The sequence below is a fragment of the Homo sapiens genome, chromosome 2 (genome assembly GCF_000001405.40).
Source record: "Homo sapiens chromosome 2, GRCh38.p14 Primary Assembly".
NCBI lineage: Eukaryota > Metazoa > Chordata > Mammalia > Primates > Hominidae > Homo > Homo sapiens.
Genome location: NC_000002.12, coordinates 88,823,956 through 88,838,219, shown reverse-complemented (window position 1 = coordinate 88,838,219; position 14,264 = coordinate 88,823,956). Strand labels below are relative to the sequence as shown.

Here is a 14,264-nt window from a genome sequence, read left to right as displayed (position 1 = left end):
ATGAAGCAGGAGGAACAGGCAGCAGGAGAAGGTGCAGCCCAGCCAGAGGGTAGAGGCAGGGAAGTTGAGAGCTAGTGCTCCCTGCTCAGAATGTCCAGGAAAAAGAAATGGTTAGATCTTGAAATAAATCGTCAAGGAAAGCAGAAAATATTTTAATCATAAGTTCTTTGGTTTAATAATAAAAGTGCAATGAAAAGAATCTAAGCTTTAGAGCCAGACAGCACTGACTTGGAATCCAGCTCTGCCACACATTGAGTGACTGGCCCTGAGCAAGTTACTAACACTGTCTAAACCTTAGTTTCCTCGTCTGTAATTTTTAAAGATAATAACAGAGCACCTCTTTGAAGCTTATTATGAAGGTAGTGACAACATGACAGCACCTAGGGTCGGACCTAGGTTAACATAACTTCTTCTGTTATTTTTATCAACCTACATGTGAACATTGCTTTACAATTCTCAAAGTTTTGACAACATACTTCACTAGTCTGTTTCTTCATGTCGGAACATAGGCAGTAAGTCCTGTCTTCAGAGTCCTACCAGTGACACAGAGGCCATTCTGTTGTATCCTCCTTCTTCCAAGAACCTGCCTCTCAAATTTGAAAGATTTTATAAATGTTAGTTTCAATCATTCATTAGACCCCCTTGCTCTATCAAAACCAGATGATATAAAATCTGTTGTGGGCAGTTATCAAGACCCACAAACACTATTTCTTTAGAAAAAAAAGAAGAAGAAGAGATAAAAATACTTCATGCAGAGCTAAGGAAATTTCCAAAATTTTTTAAGTAACCTCAGAAAATTCCATGTTAGCTGACTTACTTTAAGAATGAATTAGTCTAGTTAAAATAAATTGAATAGATTTTAAAAGACCATGACCGAAGTAAGATAGAGCCAGTAGCTCTGGTTTCCTTTTTTAAATGATTTTCTTCCTCTGATAATTCAGAAACGATTTCAGAGTCTCACAACAAATTATTGCAGTACTATAAAGGGGTAAAAATGTTGGTGAATTAGGGTTCCATTTCATAAAATATCAAATAAACCTTATTTTCCATATTTATATTTCTCTATTTCTCTGTGTCTAAGAGTCTAAAAACTATAAAGGACTCCACAACTGTAAGGTGCTGTTGTGATTATGATTAATTTTTTTGCCTCTGATGTCTGAACTAGGGTATTTTCACTTTAGTCAACTCTGTTCCCTTTCTGTAGAAGACCAAACATCAGATGCTCACTATACAGTCATTAAAAACAGCGAACTGAAGTCCCTTCTCAGTCACTACCTTGTTAATAACTGGGAAAGTCACCAGGCCTCAGTTTCCCTGTCTGTAACATGAATGGGTTAAACTGAGTGATTGTGAAGCTCCCCAACACATCTAAAATACTGTGATTTCTGCAAGGCAATATGAAGAATTTTTAAGGTCTTTTCTTTGAACATGATTTACTATCTACAATGTGGAGATGACCACTTTAATATGAAAAGAGGCCTGGCAGCATGCCTTTTAGAGACAAATTTTTAGATTTCACCAAATGAAAAAGCATTTAAAGAGGCACTACTCTAAGGGAGATAACTGGCCAAAGAGAATAACAGCTAAAATAACAGCTCTGCCAGAAATAGACTGGGCCCATCATGCCACTTGATCCACAACTCCCTCAGTGTGCATGGCCTTGGGCCTCCACAGGCCTTTAGGAATTTACTGCTTAAAACACATGCCCTCCCTCACAGACACTGAGAATACACCTAGAGAGTCCAAGAGCAAGATTAGGAGATGATCCAGATCATTTCAACAATGTAGTCAGAAGGAAACACAAATTCAATCTAGAAATCCCTGAATGTCCTGGTCTGAGTGGACAAAATTGCCAAGGCAACTGATCTAGTTTTCTCTTCATCTTTGCTGTGGATTCCTATTGAGAGATCCCTATTCCAAAAGATACGTTTTAAAATAGTTAAGTGGCTGACAATGGAAATAAAACTTCGGAAAGAAGCACTGGAGTTGAAAACAAACTTGGTTCTGGTTCTGCTTTGATGCGATTCTGACTGAGTCATATAATCCACCTAAAATAAGTCTCGGTATAAAATTGGGGATAATATCACCTGACTACATTCTACACAACGTTGAGTAATGGTGACACAAACAACAATCAAGAAAACACTTTGCGAGTTTGTTGAACATGACCTTCTAACAATAGCTCCCAGGGATGGTAGCAGAATTTTTTTTTTTTTTTTTTTTTTTTGTGAAAGGCAACATGGCCTGCCTCCCTGTCCCTGCCAACAATGGGAACCAAAAGTGTTTTCTCCATATGTGATGGGCTCACAAGTCTACTTTCCCTTCTGACTCCATATCCAGTGTTCACTTAGTACTGTGTAATTAGGACAACAGGAAGCATTTCCCTCAACTCCCTCTTTGGATAGAAATCTGCAATCAGAAGCAAAAAGTCAAAGTTTCCACTTTACTCTTCAGAGTTTGTGACAAAAAACTTACAGCATCAGACTATCAAATAGAACAAGCACCAGACTTGCAGCCTGGATAAGTCAGTTATTCTTGTCTCTCAGTGAGAGAATATCTGTAGAATTCAATATTTGAAGCTTAGACATTCGTAGTAAATGTAAACACATAAGCATATATGTATGTCTATATCCTAACTCACCCTTGAGTACTTTTATTTTTATTTTTATTTTTATTTTTTGGCTGGTTGGAGAGGAGAGATAGAGATATATGGAAATAAACAAAAATAATCCTCACATAGTTGGAAAATAATACTTGTAAAACATTTAATTGGCATTGTAAATCAGTACAATCTTTTGAAAAGGGATTTAGTGACACATAACAAAAGTTGTTAAAATTCTGCTCCCTTTAACTCAATAATTTCAAGAAATTTAAAAGTCAATCATTAGAAAAGTTGTAAATGCTCAACGATAGGGGAAATGACCGAGGACATAATGGGGCACCAACTCAGTGAGTAATTTGCAGTCAGTTGAGAGGAGACCCCTGAAGTCTATGTGACAACATGGAAAACAATAAATTAACAAGGCATTTATAAAGTGTGGAATTCTATACCTCTTACAATCAGCTCTATGTAGAAACATATATGTTTATAAACAAAGATTGAAAAGAGAACACAGACAAAAATGCTAAGACTATGGTTGCATTAAACTGCAAGATTGCAAATTTTTTTCTTTAAAATTTTTAGTTAGAATATCATTTTTATTATACAACAAGTAATATTCAGGAACTGGAAAAGAGTCAGAACAACCTGCCAACATTGCATAACAGAAGTAAGAAATAAACCTTTGTCTGATTTTCAGATTGAGATGGAACCAGTCCCTCCCATGCCAGGGCCTGTGTGGATCATTCCATGGCCCCAGAGACCCTACTCCTGCACCCAAAGTAAAATACTTTCACGAACCAGAAGAACATAAGAGCTAATTGCTTCCTAACAGTTGGAACTAAATGATCTGAAAGGTAAAAATTCCCCAATACTGGTGAAATTTTAATGGTCACACAAACAACAATCAGGAAAACATTGTAAGCTTATTGAACATGACCTTCTAACAACAGCTTCCAGGGATGGTAGCAGAATTATTTTTGTGAAAGGCAACATGGCATGCCTTCTAATGTTTGACTTTTAAATTTACTGAAATCATTCACTTACAGGGAGTGGAATTTTCATGGCCTTTGAAATGTGTTACTAAATTCCTTTTCAAAAGATTGTACTGATTTACAATGCCACTTGAGAGACAAATGCTTCTTAGAATCATAAATGATCTTTTATTGTCAAGTGGCATGTAGAACCATAAAAATAAGCTTAGCCATTCTAGATTGAGAACTGGAAATACTTTAGATTCTGACAATTGTCTAAAATATTAATAAATTAACAAGGGTATGTCTGGGCACAGATGCATGTTTAAGTTAAAGTCACTTCTCTCTAATTTATCACTTACATTTGTCTAGTTCCATTCTTGAGAATATTCAAAAAGGCAAAAGTAGGTATAAAAAACTGAAAAGCATCAGAAATTTTACTGATTTGATTATTGAAAATATTTCCATTTCTTTTGGAAAGGCAATGCATGCATTTGGTAAAATATTCAAACAGTGCAAGGGAGCAGCCATGGGAAGTAATTCTCTCTACCACTCCATATCCCCCAGGCTGATAAATTTTTAATAAAATATTTATCTCTAAAGTAGGTTTTTTAAATTTTTAATAAAATATTTTAGCTCTAAAGTAGGTTTTTAACCCCAAAACTGGTATGTTAATAAAGGCATAGCAAGAAGCTAGGGCTTAGAGATACAACTTGTGTAAGCTCTCCGTGCAGAGCCAAATAGTTCTTGAACTTCTTCTAAAACCAAAACTTTCAAAATTTGTTTAGAATTATCCTTACTATGAAATTCAGATTGCAAAAGTGTTTGTCATTTTAATTATAGAAAATTATTCAAAAAATAAGTTCTAGAATGCAATCTCTTACTTATATAAATATATTTGGGATCATTTACTTATTGTCATTATTACTCAGATACAGACTCAGAATTAGAAATAATCCAGCAAGTTTCCTATAGAAAGGGGCACACAGAAAATATATTTTGCCCACGAACTGAATTTATAATTAATGAGAACTTGTTGTATGCGTGCAATTAAAAACAAAATCTATAAAGTTACTTAGAGAAAGGATTCTTCTTTTCTCCTCAAAACTTTTCAACATAAATATAAAATTTCATATGCACACATGTCCTATGATACAGCAATCTCTTTTAGGAGTAAGAGTGTATTATGATGAATTTTCATTGTATATTTCAATAAAAAATAAGAATGTACTAAAAACCCAAGAAGATTATGCTTAAAAAAGGACCCAATTTCCTTTGAGTGTCACCCCAGAGAGCACAACTCTCAGCTCTGAAAGGTACCTGAAGAATTTTCAGGATCAACATTTGTAAGCATTATCAGCCCAGGATAATGCTTATTTACAGCAGTTCAACTTTTCTCACCTGCAGTAGTTTACTTTGATGAAATCCTGCTTATTTTTCACAATTAAAATTGCGTCCATGGCCCTTGTTACCCTTAAGAATTATATTTTGCTGACACAATCTCTTTATCTACATTTCACCTAAGTAAGCTTTTTCTTTACATGATTTTAAGTCATTTTCCAAAACAGAAAAGCATAATTATACAACCTTCTATGTGTATTGGAGGAAAAAAAGGGTCACACAAATAATAGTACACTCTCTCAGTTAAGGAGTAGGCAGGAGGAGGGGGTTGAGAAAGACAAACCAGAAAGAATTACATGAAATTTTCCTTCCTCCTCACTGAGCCTCCCTTGAATTGTCCAATAATATCCCCCCAACACACACACATAGACACAGAGCAGACTGTGAGGGACACGCAGCCTGGGTGGGACTCCAGGAGCCAGCTCTTACCCTAGAGTTTCTGCACGGGCAGCAGGTTGGCAGCGCACACTGTGGGAGCCCTAGTGGCAGCCCAGGGCGACTCCTCATGAGTCTGCAGCTGCATTTTTGCCATATCCACTATTTGGAGTCTGACCTCCCTAGGAAGCCTCCCTGCTCCCTAGGACAACCTGCTCTGACCTCTGAGGACCTGTCTGTAAACGTCCAGAGAAAAGCATGTGCCTGAAGGGTCTATGAAGGGGCTTGAGGCAAGTAGGGAGCCCAGCCCAGCTAACATTTGCAGCCATGGGATGGCTTTGTGTACCTAGAAAAGCAAAGATGAGGACTAGGCGAGCACAGGCCCCAAACGTTCACGATACACATCTCACTGCAAAGAAATGTCCTCTGGCCACTTTATAATGCAGCTCTAACTATAACTGGTGCTTTGCTGGTTTGTGGCCTGGGCTGGTCTCCCAGAGTCAGTGGCTTTGGGTGAGATGGCTCCAGGAGACAGCAGAAACTCTCATATATGAAGCCTTGCTTGCAGCGATTTGAGGCTTACTAGGGAAAAGCCATGATGGGTTTTATAGAGCATTAACTGTGATACGCCATCTAGGGCTGAGAGCTCTAAGCAGTGACCACTGGCACCTCCATGCAAGTGCCCTTAGGCTACACCTAATGAGCACAGTGAGGCTCTGGGCTCAGTGGACAACCGTGCCAATCACCCAAAGGGACAAGGAAGGACCCTCGAGTGCCAGTGGTGCTTGGCTTGGCTTTCTCATGAGTCCTGGTAAGAGCCTGCCTGAAATGGGAGGAAGGGTCAGCTCTGAGTTAGAGGCTGACAGAGACAAACCTCTTGGGGGCAGGAGCTAGCTGACAGGATGACACCTGCCCTAGGGTCCTGCTCTGAAATGCAAGGAAATCCCAGCCACAGTCCGCCGGTCAAGGAAGGCCTTGTGCTAGACTGGATCGCCCCCTGCTGGCCCCATGCAGCCAGGACACTAGCCCTTTTAGGGCCACTGACTAAAGCTGGAGGGAGCACGGGGAGACACAGCATATAAAAGTCTGTTGTTTAACAACATCCCATCTTTCCCTACGTACACATTATCTTTTTAAAAACGTTATTGTATCTGCCACAAACACACTTTCCACTTATTTAATTTTAATAATATTGTTCAGTTTCTTTAGAAAATACAGAAAAACATAGGAAACTAAAAGCCATATATCGCCCTGTCAGCAGAAGTAATACCATTTAACATGCATCATGTTTATCTAGTCGAGATCATGCTGTGTGGTGGTCATTGTCCATCTACTCAGATCCATTTCCTGTCCATGGTTCCATTGGCAATTGGCTTCCAGCTGGATATGGCCGGTGGGAGACACCAGCAAGAGACAGGGTAGTGAAAAGAAGGGATAAGGCAGGGTACTTGACCATCTCTCTCCTTCAGGAAGCAGTTTTGCATCAGTAGCTGCATCTCCTCCATGATTCTAGCTGCCACCAAGTGCCCATCCTCTGCCCTCTCCCAATGCCACTTTCTGCAGCCCTGATGGTGGAGTGGCTTCCTGCTGTGACTCATCTCTGGGCTGCTTCCATGATGATTGGGTCTCTGCTGTTCATCACCTGTGAAGCATTTCCCACAATAAATTCCCTTTGTTTAAAATGTCCAGGGTAGTTTATTTTCCCCACTGGATCATGAACGACAAATGTCACATGTATAATTTTTGGTTAATTTATTATTTAACAATGTACCACTCAATATTATTCCATTAAGGTTTTCCTATAATTGTCAGCTCTTTCTTTTTTTTTTTTCTTCTGAGATGGAGTCTTGCTCTGTCACCCAGGCTGGAGTGCAGTGGCATGATCTCGGCTCACTGCAACCTCCACCTCCCGGGTTCAAGTAATTCTCCTGCCTCAGCCTCCCGGTAGCTGGGATTACAGGCACCTGCCACCGCACCTGGCTACTTTTTGTATTTTTAGTAGAGACAGGGTTTCACCATGTTGGTCAAGCTGGTCTTGAACTCCTGACCTTGTGATCTGCCTGCCTTGGCCTCCCAAAGTGCTGGGATTACAGGTGCGAGCCACCATGCCTGGCCAATCCTCAGTTCTTTACAAACCTTTCTAAGAAAGGGTTGCTTCTGCTTATTATCTTATTATATCACATCTTAATTGCCTCATTTCATTCAAGTTTCCAATTTTTACTAAAATATGAACACCTTCGTGCATAAATTTCTTTCCATACTTCTAAGTATTTGCTTAGACTAAATTCCTGGAAGTGACAAAGGATAACTCATTTTAAGATCTTAGTACATATAGCCAAGAAATCTACAGGAAAAAAGGTTAGGTCAGTTTACTCTCCCACTAGCAGTAGAAGAAAGCTTGTCTCACCATACCCTCTGCAGCTGTGATTAGATGAATTTGCAAATTGTAAAGGCAAAAACAAAAAAGCATCTGGTTGTTACTGTTTTAATTCAGATGTGTTTTGTTTTTATCGTAAGTGAGGTGAGACATTTCTCAGGAGTTATTACCCACCTGCATTTCCTCTTTAGTAAATTATCTTGTTTATTTTACTGTACAGTCCTTGGTGATTATCTTATTGACCAAAGAATCAGTCAGCACCCTTAGAGGCAAACAACAGAAGCAGCCTCTGGCTAAATTAAGCAGAAAGGGCATTTATTAAAAGGATATCATGCAACTCCAAAGTGAATGGGAAGTCTGAAAAATCAGGCTCAGAAAATAGGTGAAAACAAGGGAAACTGGTAAGCTGGAAATATGGCCAAGGTTCTACCCTAAAACATTCTGAAAAACAAAAAATGTCACTATTAATGCTGCTGCCTGAATGCTATTCCTGGCACTGCTGCCACCCACCACTGGATTGGATACTGCCAGCTGAATGAACTTTAGTTTAACTCTTCTTGCATCTTTGTCATTCCCTTTAACAGACGAGTTGCAAACTCTGCATTCATTCTTCTCTCATCAGGAAGTGGAATCTATTTCTCCACCTCCTTGAATCTAGACTGACATTTTGCCTTGCCGTGAGCAATAGAAGTGGTAGCAGAAGCATCTCTCACAACCGACAGTTGCTGTGCCTTGAAACTGGGAAGAAAACATTCCATCAACTTTAAAGAAAGCCTTACAATAAGCTGAGACCCCTCCCTGAACCATTTCTATAGACTCATAACGGATGCCCCAGCCCAAACTCTGCCTCATTCATCCCAGCCTCCTCCCTGCATCCAGCAATGGCTTTGATCATGCCACTCCACTGCCTAAAACCCCCACTGTCAGGTTAAGTCCAGAGTCCTTAGTGATGGTGAGCACAGCTTTTCATTACACGGCTCCTCCCTTCCCTTCTCTTCTCCCAACACCTCCCCAGAGCCAGCATTACCTGTCAGCCCTCAAAGCTCCTCGAATTTACCTGTACAAACCACGTCCTCACTGACCCTCATCTTTGCACATGCTGTTCCCTCTGCATGGATGCTCCTTCTCCCCTCACTCCTTCCATCACACGGCCTGCCTGGTGGCCTCTTAGTTTTCCTTCCAGATTCGGTAACTACAGAAATTACTAAGAAAGTTATACATACATATATATTTTTTTAAAAAGAGGAATTATAATGGTGTGAAAAATTATATATACATATATATATATATATACCAAAAGAAAATAAAAGAGGAATGGGCAGACGTGGTCCTCGGGGAGGAGGAAGCAGGAATGGGGATGCCTGGCCCTAACTCAGGGTCCCTCCCGGACTGCGCTTCCTACCATTCTGGACCCATCCCAGGGAGGCCGGGCGCACTGCCAGCCCCATTCTGTGAGTGCTTATGAGTGCCAAGGACCCCCTTAAATGACTTGCTCAGTCAGGAGCAGCTGCGACGGGAGTGTCCGCCAGTGCTGGATGGAAGTTCCCGACAACACTGTTATCCAGTGGGAGATGAGACCCGGCCCTCACTGGAGGCCTTAGGGGCCTGGGCTGGCAATTTCCTGCTAGCCTTAAAGCCACAGAAAAAGGAAATTCTCCCTCCATGAGCCAGGATGCAGTGACTCAGGGTTTGTAAGTGTGCTAGGTTGAACTGCAGAGTGTGGAACTTTCATGCAATGCTACTTGTTTTCAGGGTCCTCTTGGGGTACTGGAGACAGGCCTGCCATGCCCCTGCTGGGTAACTGAGGATGCCCCTCTGCCTTTTAGAGCCAGCATCCTCCTGTATTCAAAGCACAAAGGAGATAAGGATGGCTGCTCACAAGGCTTCATGAGGCTGCAGGGCCAGTGACACGCGGGTGGGAGCTGCCTTATGGGCTGTAAGCAGCACCCAGGTGGGCTCTGGGTCTCTGAGCCACCCACAGGGAGACTTGCAGTCAGGTGAGCCCTGCCCAGGAGCACCCAGCACAGCCTGGCTGGGTCCCTGACCTCCAGCTGTGGCACTTGGGGTAGTAGCATGCGTGTGGAAGACCCTAGCTCGGATACAGGGAGTTCCAGCCCCACAGAGGTAGGGCACTCCAGGGCTCCTCCCACTCTCCCTGACAGCGGGCCTGTCATCTCACCATATTTCCCTTCACCTTCCTCAGCGGTTCCCACTCCCACCCAGACCCCCGCATGGCCCCTCAGGCCCTGGGATGGGGCTCCTGCTGCAGCCGCCAGGCTGGGGCCTGTGCTGGGCTGTGGCCTACCCATGGGACAGTGCTGTGAAGGGAAGGAATGGTCCAGGGGTGGGCAGGAAGGAGGGCATGCTGGAGCAAGGGCTTCCACAAACTCATCCACAGAAAGAGAGAGATTTCCATCGCAACCTGGTACACTACTGGCGGGTGTGGGTGTGTGCGTAAGTGAAACAAAAGATCCAGGAAACAGTATTTCCCGTTCCTGTACACAATACGCTCCTATACTTTATATCCTAGTCTGCTTAAGTTCTTTTTGTTTTGTTTTGTTTTTAGAGACAAAGAGTCTTGCCCTGTCACCCAGGCTGACAAGTATAGTTCACTGCTGCCTCGAACTCCTGGGCTCAAAGGATCCTCCCACTCAGCCTCCCAAGTAGCTAGGGCTACAAGTGTGCGTCACCATGCTGTTAATTTTTTGAAATGTTTTCTAGGGACAGGATCTCATTTTGTTGCCTAGGCTGGCCTCAAATGCCTAGCCTCAAGCAATCCTCCTACCTCAGCTTCCCAAAGTGCTGGGATTACAAGTGTGAGCCATTATGCCCAGTTGGCTTCAGTTCTTAATGCTGGTTGATAATCCACTAAATGAAGTCACAATCTGTGAATGAGTCTCACTCATAGTTTGCCAGTCCCAGGACTGGGGGAAGTGGTGGAGGCTTGGGGAGCCCGGCATAATGGCAGAGGGTGGGTGTCCTGAGTTTGGCCTGGGAGTCGTGGGGGGCAGTGGAGTGTCTGAAGAGAGGGTGAGGGGTATGGGTGACCAGGGGCTCCTCAGCAGTGCTGTGGAGGGGCTGTCGCTGGCTGGGACTGACCTTAACAGAAGGGAAATGCACTATCTCGTGTCCTGCGATCTGGGTCAGCAGCTCGGTCGTGTCATCTGGGATGCAGGCTCCTTTCCTCTTTCTCCTCCTCCATTTCACAGCTCCAGGTTCACCACTGCACAGTAATGGCCAGAGCAAGAAAGGGACCATTGTGCCCTGTACCCCCTTCTTAGGCACCAGGTAGACTTTCCCTCTGTCTCGTTGACCAGGACAAAGCCAAATATGTGTCCCTAGTAGGGAATGTGGTGAGCCTAATGGCATGGGCAGCGACATCCCCTTACTGGTGAGAGCCCAGTTGGGGAACTCACGCCACAGAAACAGTTTATAATGAGAGAACTCTCTTTGCAGCAAGGTATTCACTGCAGCATCATTTGTAATAGGAAAAAGCTAGAACACTTCACATACCCTGACTAGGGCCTAATTGAGTAAATGAGGTTTTATCAACTTGATGGAAGATAATTTCGACACTGAAAATACAGTGGACCCTCATAACTCCTGGATTCTGTATTTGCAAGTTCACCTACTTGCTAAGATGTATTTGTAACCCCCAAATTAATACACTTGGCACTTTCACAGCCATTGACATGCTCAGAGCAGCGAAAAACTTGAGTTGCCAGACATGAACACACATTCCCAGCTGAGGTCAAGCAAGGTGACACTCTGCCTTCCTTTTTGAGTTCTCGTACTATAAGGTGTCCTTTTTGAGGTCCCCTTAGTGCTGCGTGTTCAGAACCAAACTCCCACTCATTTTGGGTGAACAGAACCAAACCCCCAAGGGATGCTACAGTGGTAGGAACATGTGCACATCTGTTTGACAGAGCTGTGACTCATGAGGCATTTTGCAGAGCAACTGCCTAATGGGGTCTGAAGCACAGCCCCAGGAGAAACCTTGTCTTGTTTTTTCCCTTTTTTTTGAGACAGGGTCTCTCTCTGTCACCCATGCTGAAGTGCAGTGGCAAAATCAAGGCTGTCTGCCTCCCGGGCTCAAGTGGTCCTCCCATCTCAGCCTCCCGAGTAGTGGGGACTACAGGCATGTGCCACCATGTCTGGGTAATGTTTGTATTTTTTTAGAGACAGGGTTTTGCCATGTTGCCCAGGCTGCTTTTGAACCCTTGGGCTCAAGTGATCCCCACCTTGGCCTCCCAGAGTTCTGGGATTACAGGTGTGAGCCACTGCACCCAGCTGTTTTTTCTTTTTCGGGAGTGTGCATCCAAGAGCTAATTGGACACCCGTGTTCATAGCAGCATTATTCACAATAGCCAAAAGGTGGAAGCAACGCTAGTGTGTATAAGCAGATGAGTGGATAAACCAACTGTGACACACATATGCAATGGAATATTATTCAGCACTTGAAAAAGAAGGAAATTCTGACACATGCTACAACACAGATGAACTTTGAGGACATTATGCTAAGCGAGAAAAGGCAGTCACAAAAGGACAAATACGGCATGATTCCATTCATATCAGGTACCCAGTGTAGACAGAAAGTAGAATGGTGGTTGCCAGGGACTGCGGGGAGGGAAGAGTGGGGAGTTGTTGTTTAATGGGTGCAGAGTTTCAGATCTGCAAGATGGAAAGCACTCTGGAGATGGATGGTGGTGACGGGTGCACAACAGTGTGAATGAACACGAATGCCACTCAACTGTATACTGAAAAATGGTTAAGATGGTTGATTTTGTTATATATGTTTAACCACAATTTTTAAAAAGAGAGAGAGGTATATAGTAGACAAGAGAGCCTGGACTTAAACAACGTGCACTCTGCACATCTGAATGAGAAGGACAATCGTTTCCTTCATCCTGAAACATCACAATGGCAGAGGGAGCCTTTGGGACATCCAGGTTCCCGCCGTGGGCAACGCCCTTGTGTGTCCTTTACAGAGCCCATTACTGCCTGGCCCGTGGTGGGACCAGGAGACCCCGGCTCACCTGTGTGCTGATGACAACAGCCGCACCCATCTTGACTGGGGTCTTTTCCTCTCAGTCTGAAGTTTTTTAGGCTTTATGAAGCCTGTGGTCACCTAAGCGCCAGGGAAGAGAAGGAGAGGCAAAGCTGTCATGAAAATTAAGACGAGCAGTAAGAAAAGGAATTTGGGGTTGGCAGTACATGAAACCTGCCATGCTGAAGCAATGCCCAGCTATGCAGAAAAACCTGCCACCGGGTACCCACCCCTGGCACACCTCTTTGCTTCTCAGCAACTTGTCTGCCCCACCCCAAACCCACACCTCCCAGCCATGGCCTGGAGCCCTGGCCACACAGACCTGAGACCATGCATCTTTTTGACATATCCTTCACGGTTCCCAGGGCGTCATTACTCAGGCAGCAACTGTCTCAGAACCTCAGCGTGTGATCCCGGCCCCTGCAGCAGCCCCTCTCCCACCCATGAGGGGCTTCCAGATGCTCTGTTCAGGTGAGCAGATCCACTCTCCCCAAAGGCCATCCTCCTTATCTCTTCCCATTCAGAATTCTCTGTGAGCCTCCAATGCCCACGTGGCTTTCTTTTCTTTTTAAATGTACCTGTTATTTGTTTTGGATTAATGTAAACATGAATATGGTCCTACATTCAAAACTGTCTCCAAGACAAGAGGTTCTGCTTCCCCGAGACCAAGGCACTGACTGGCTGATAGGGTCTCATTCTGGAAATATTCTGTTCACCTTCAACAAATGCACATATACACAGACACTCACACATGCATTTTCTTATTTTTCTGCACAAATCATAGCACACTGAGTACACTGGTCTGTGCCTTTACAAATTATTGGAGATTGTTCTTGTTCCATTTTGGGATATAGAATTTTCTCTTTTTTTTTTTTTTTTTTTTTTGAAGATTGCAGAGTGTTTCACTCTGTAGATACAATTGATTTAACTGGTCCCCTGTGGATGAAGAGATCATTTCCTAGCTTTTCTGTAATCAACAGGCTGCAATAAACAACTTTTATAGTTGTTATTTTCCTCACATGCATCATTTGTAGGACAAATTCCATCAAGTGAAATTATTTAGTTGAAGAGTATGGGCATTTAATGTTTTGATCAATATTGTCAAAATAATAGAGTCGTTGATGACAGTTATTTAACCTGGAGGTGGCAATGGACTTCAACTGTTGGGGTTGCAGACGGACATTGGGGGGTCTGTGAGTCCTTAGATTTGTAGGCAAAAGTTGTGTGTGTGTATAGGTACATTTTTCTTGGTAACCAAAGCCATCATCAACTCATAAGAAGGGTCTGTGCCCTCTAAATGTTATCTCGCCCACCCAGCTGATTGATCTCCCATCTCTCCTTTCCAAAAGTGAATTTCCCATCCTTTAGAGAGGCCTCTCTTAGACATTCCCTCCCCTGTATCTTTCTCATGGAACGTCTCTTCCTGCCCTCTGTGCCATTCCAAATGGTTATGGCTACTACAGCCAACATTCACCATGTGCCAGACAGACT

The 14,264-nt window shown here is 43.2% G+C and overlaps 1 long non-coding RNA gene and 1 further gene across 1 annotated transcript, besides 1 other annotated feature; one reads left to right on the top strand and one right to left on the bottom strand.

The window, feature by feature from the left end:
- IGKDEL (immunoglobulin kappa deleting element or like) lies at nucleotides 4,889-5,998 on the top strand.
- Nucleotides 6,233-6,282: an enhancer, noted in NCBI's record as "active region_16176". NCBI's record gives its function as "activates an Ori minimal core promoter by ATAC-STARR-seq in GM12878 lymphoblastoid cells {active_cell/tissue: GM12878}" and the evidence as "EXISTENCE:reporter gene assay evidence [ECO:0000049][PMID:35858748]".
- On the bottom strand, nucleotides 8,374-12,849 carry LOC105374854 (uncharacterized). The gene is made up of 4 exons (XR_001739585.2): nucleotides 12,763-12,849; nucleotides 10,826-10,949; nucleotides 8,784-8,930; nucleotides 8,374-8,464 (listed from the first exon to the last, which is right to left on the bottom strand). It is a non-coding gene; the product is annotated as an uncharacterized LOC105374854 (long non-coding RNA).
- Between the last annotated feature and the right edge of the window lie 1,415 nt (nucleotides 12,850-14,264).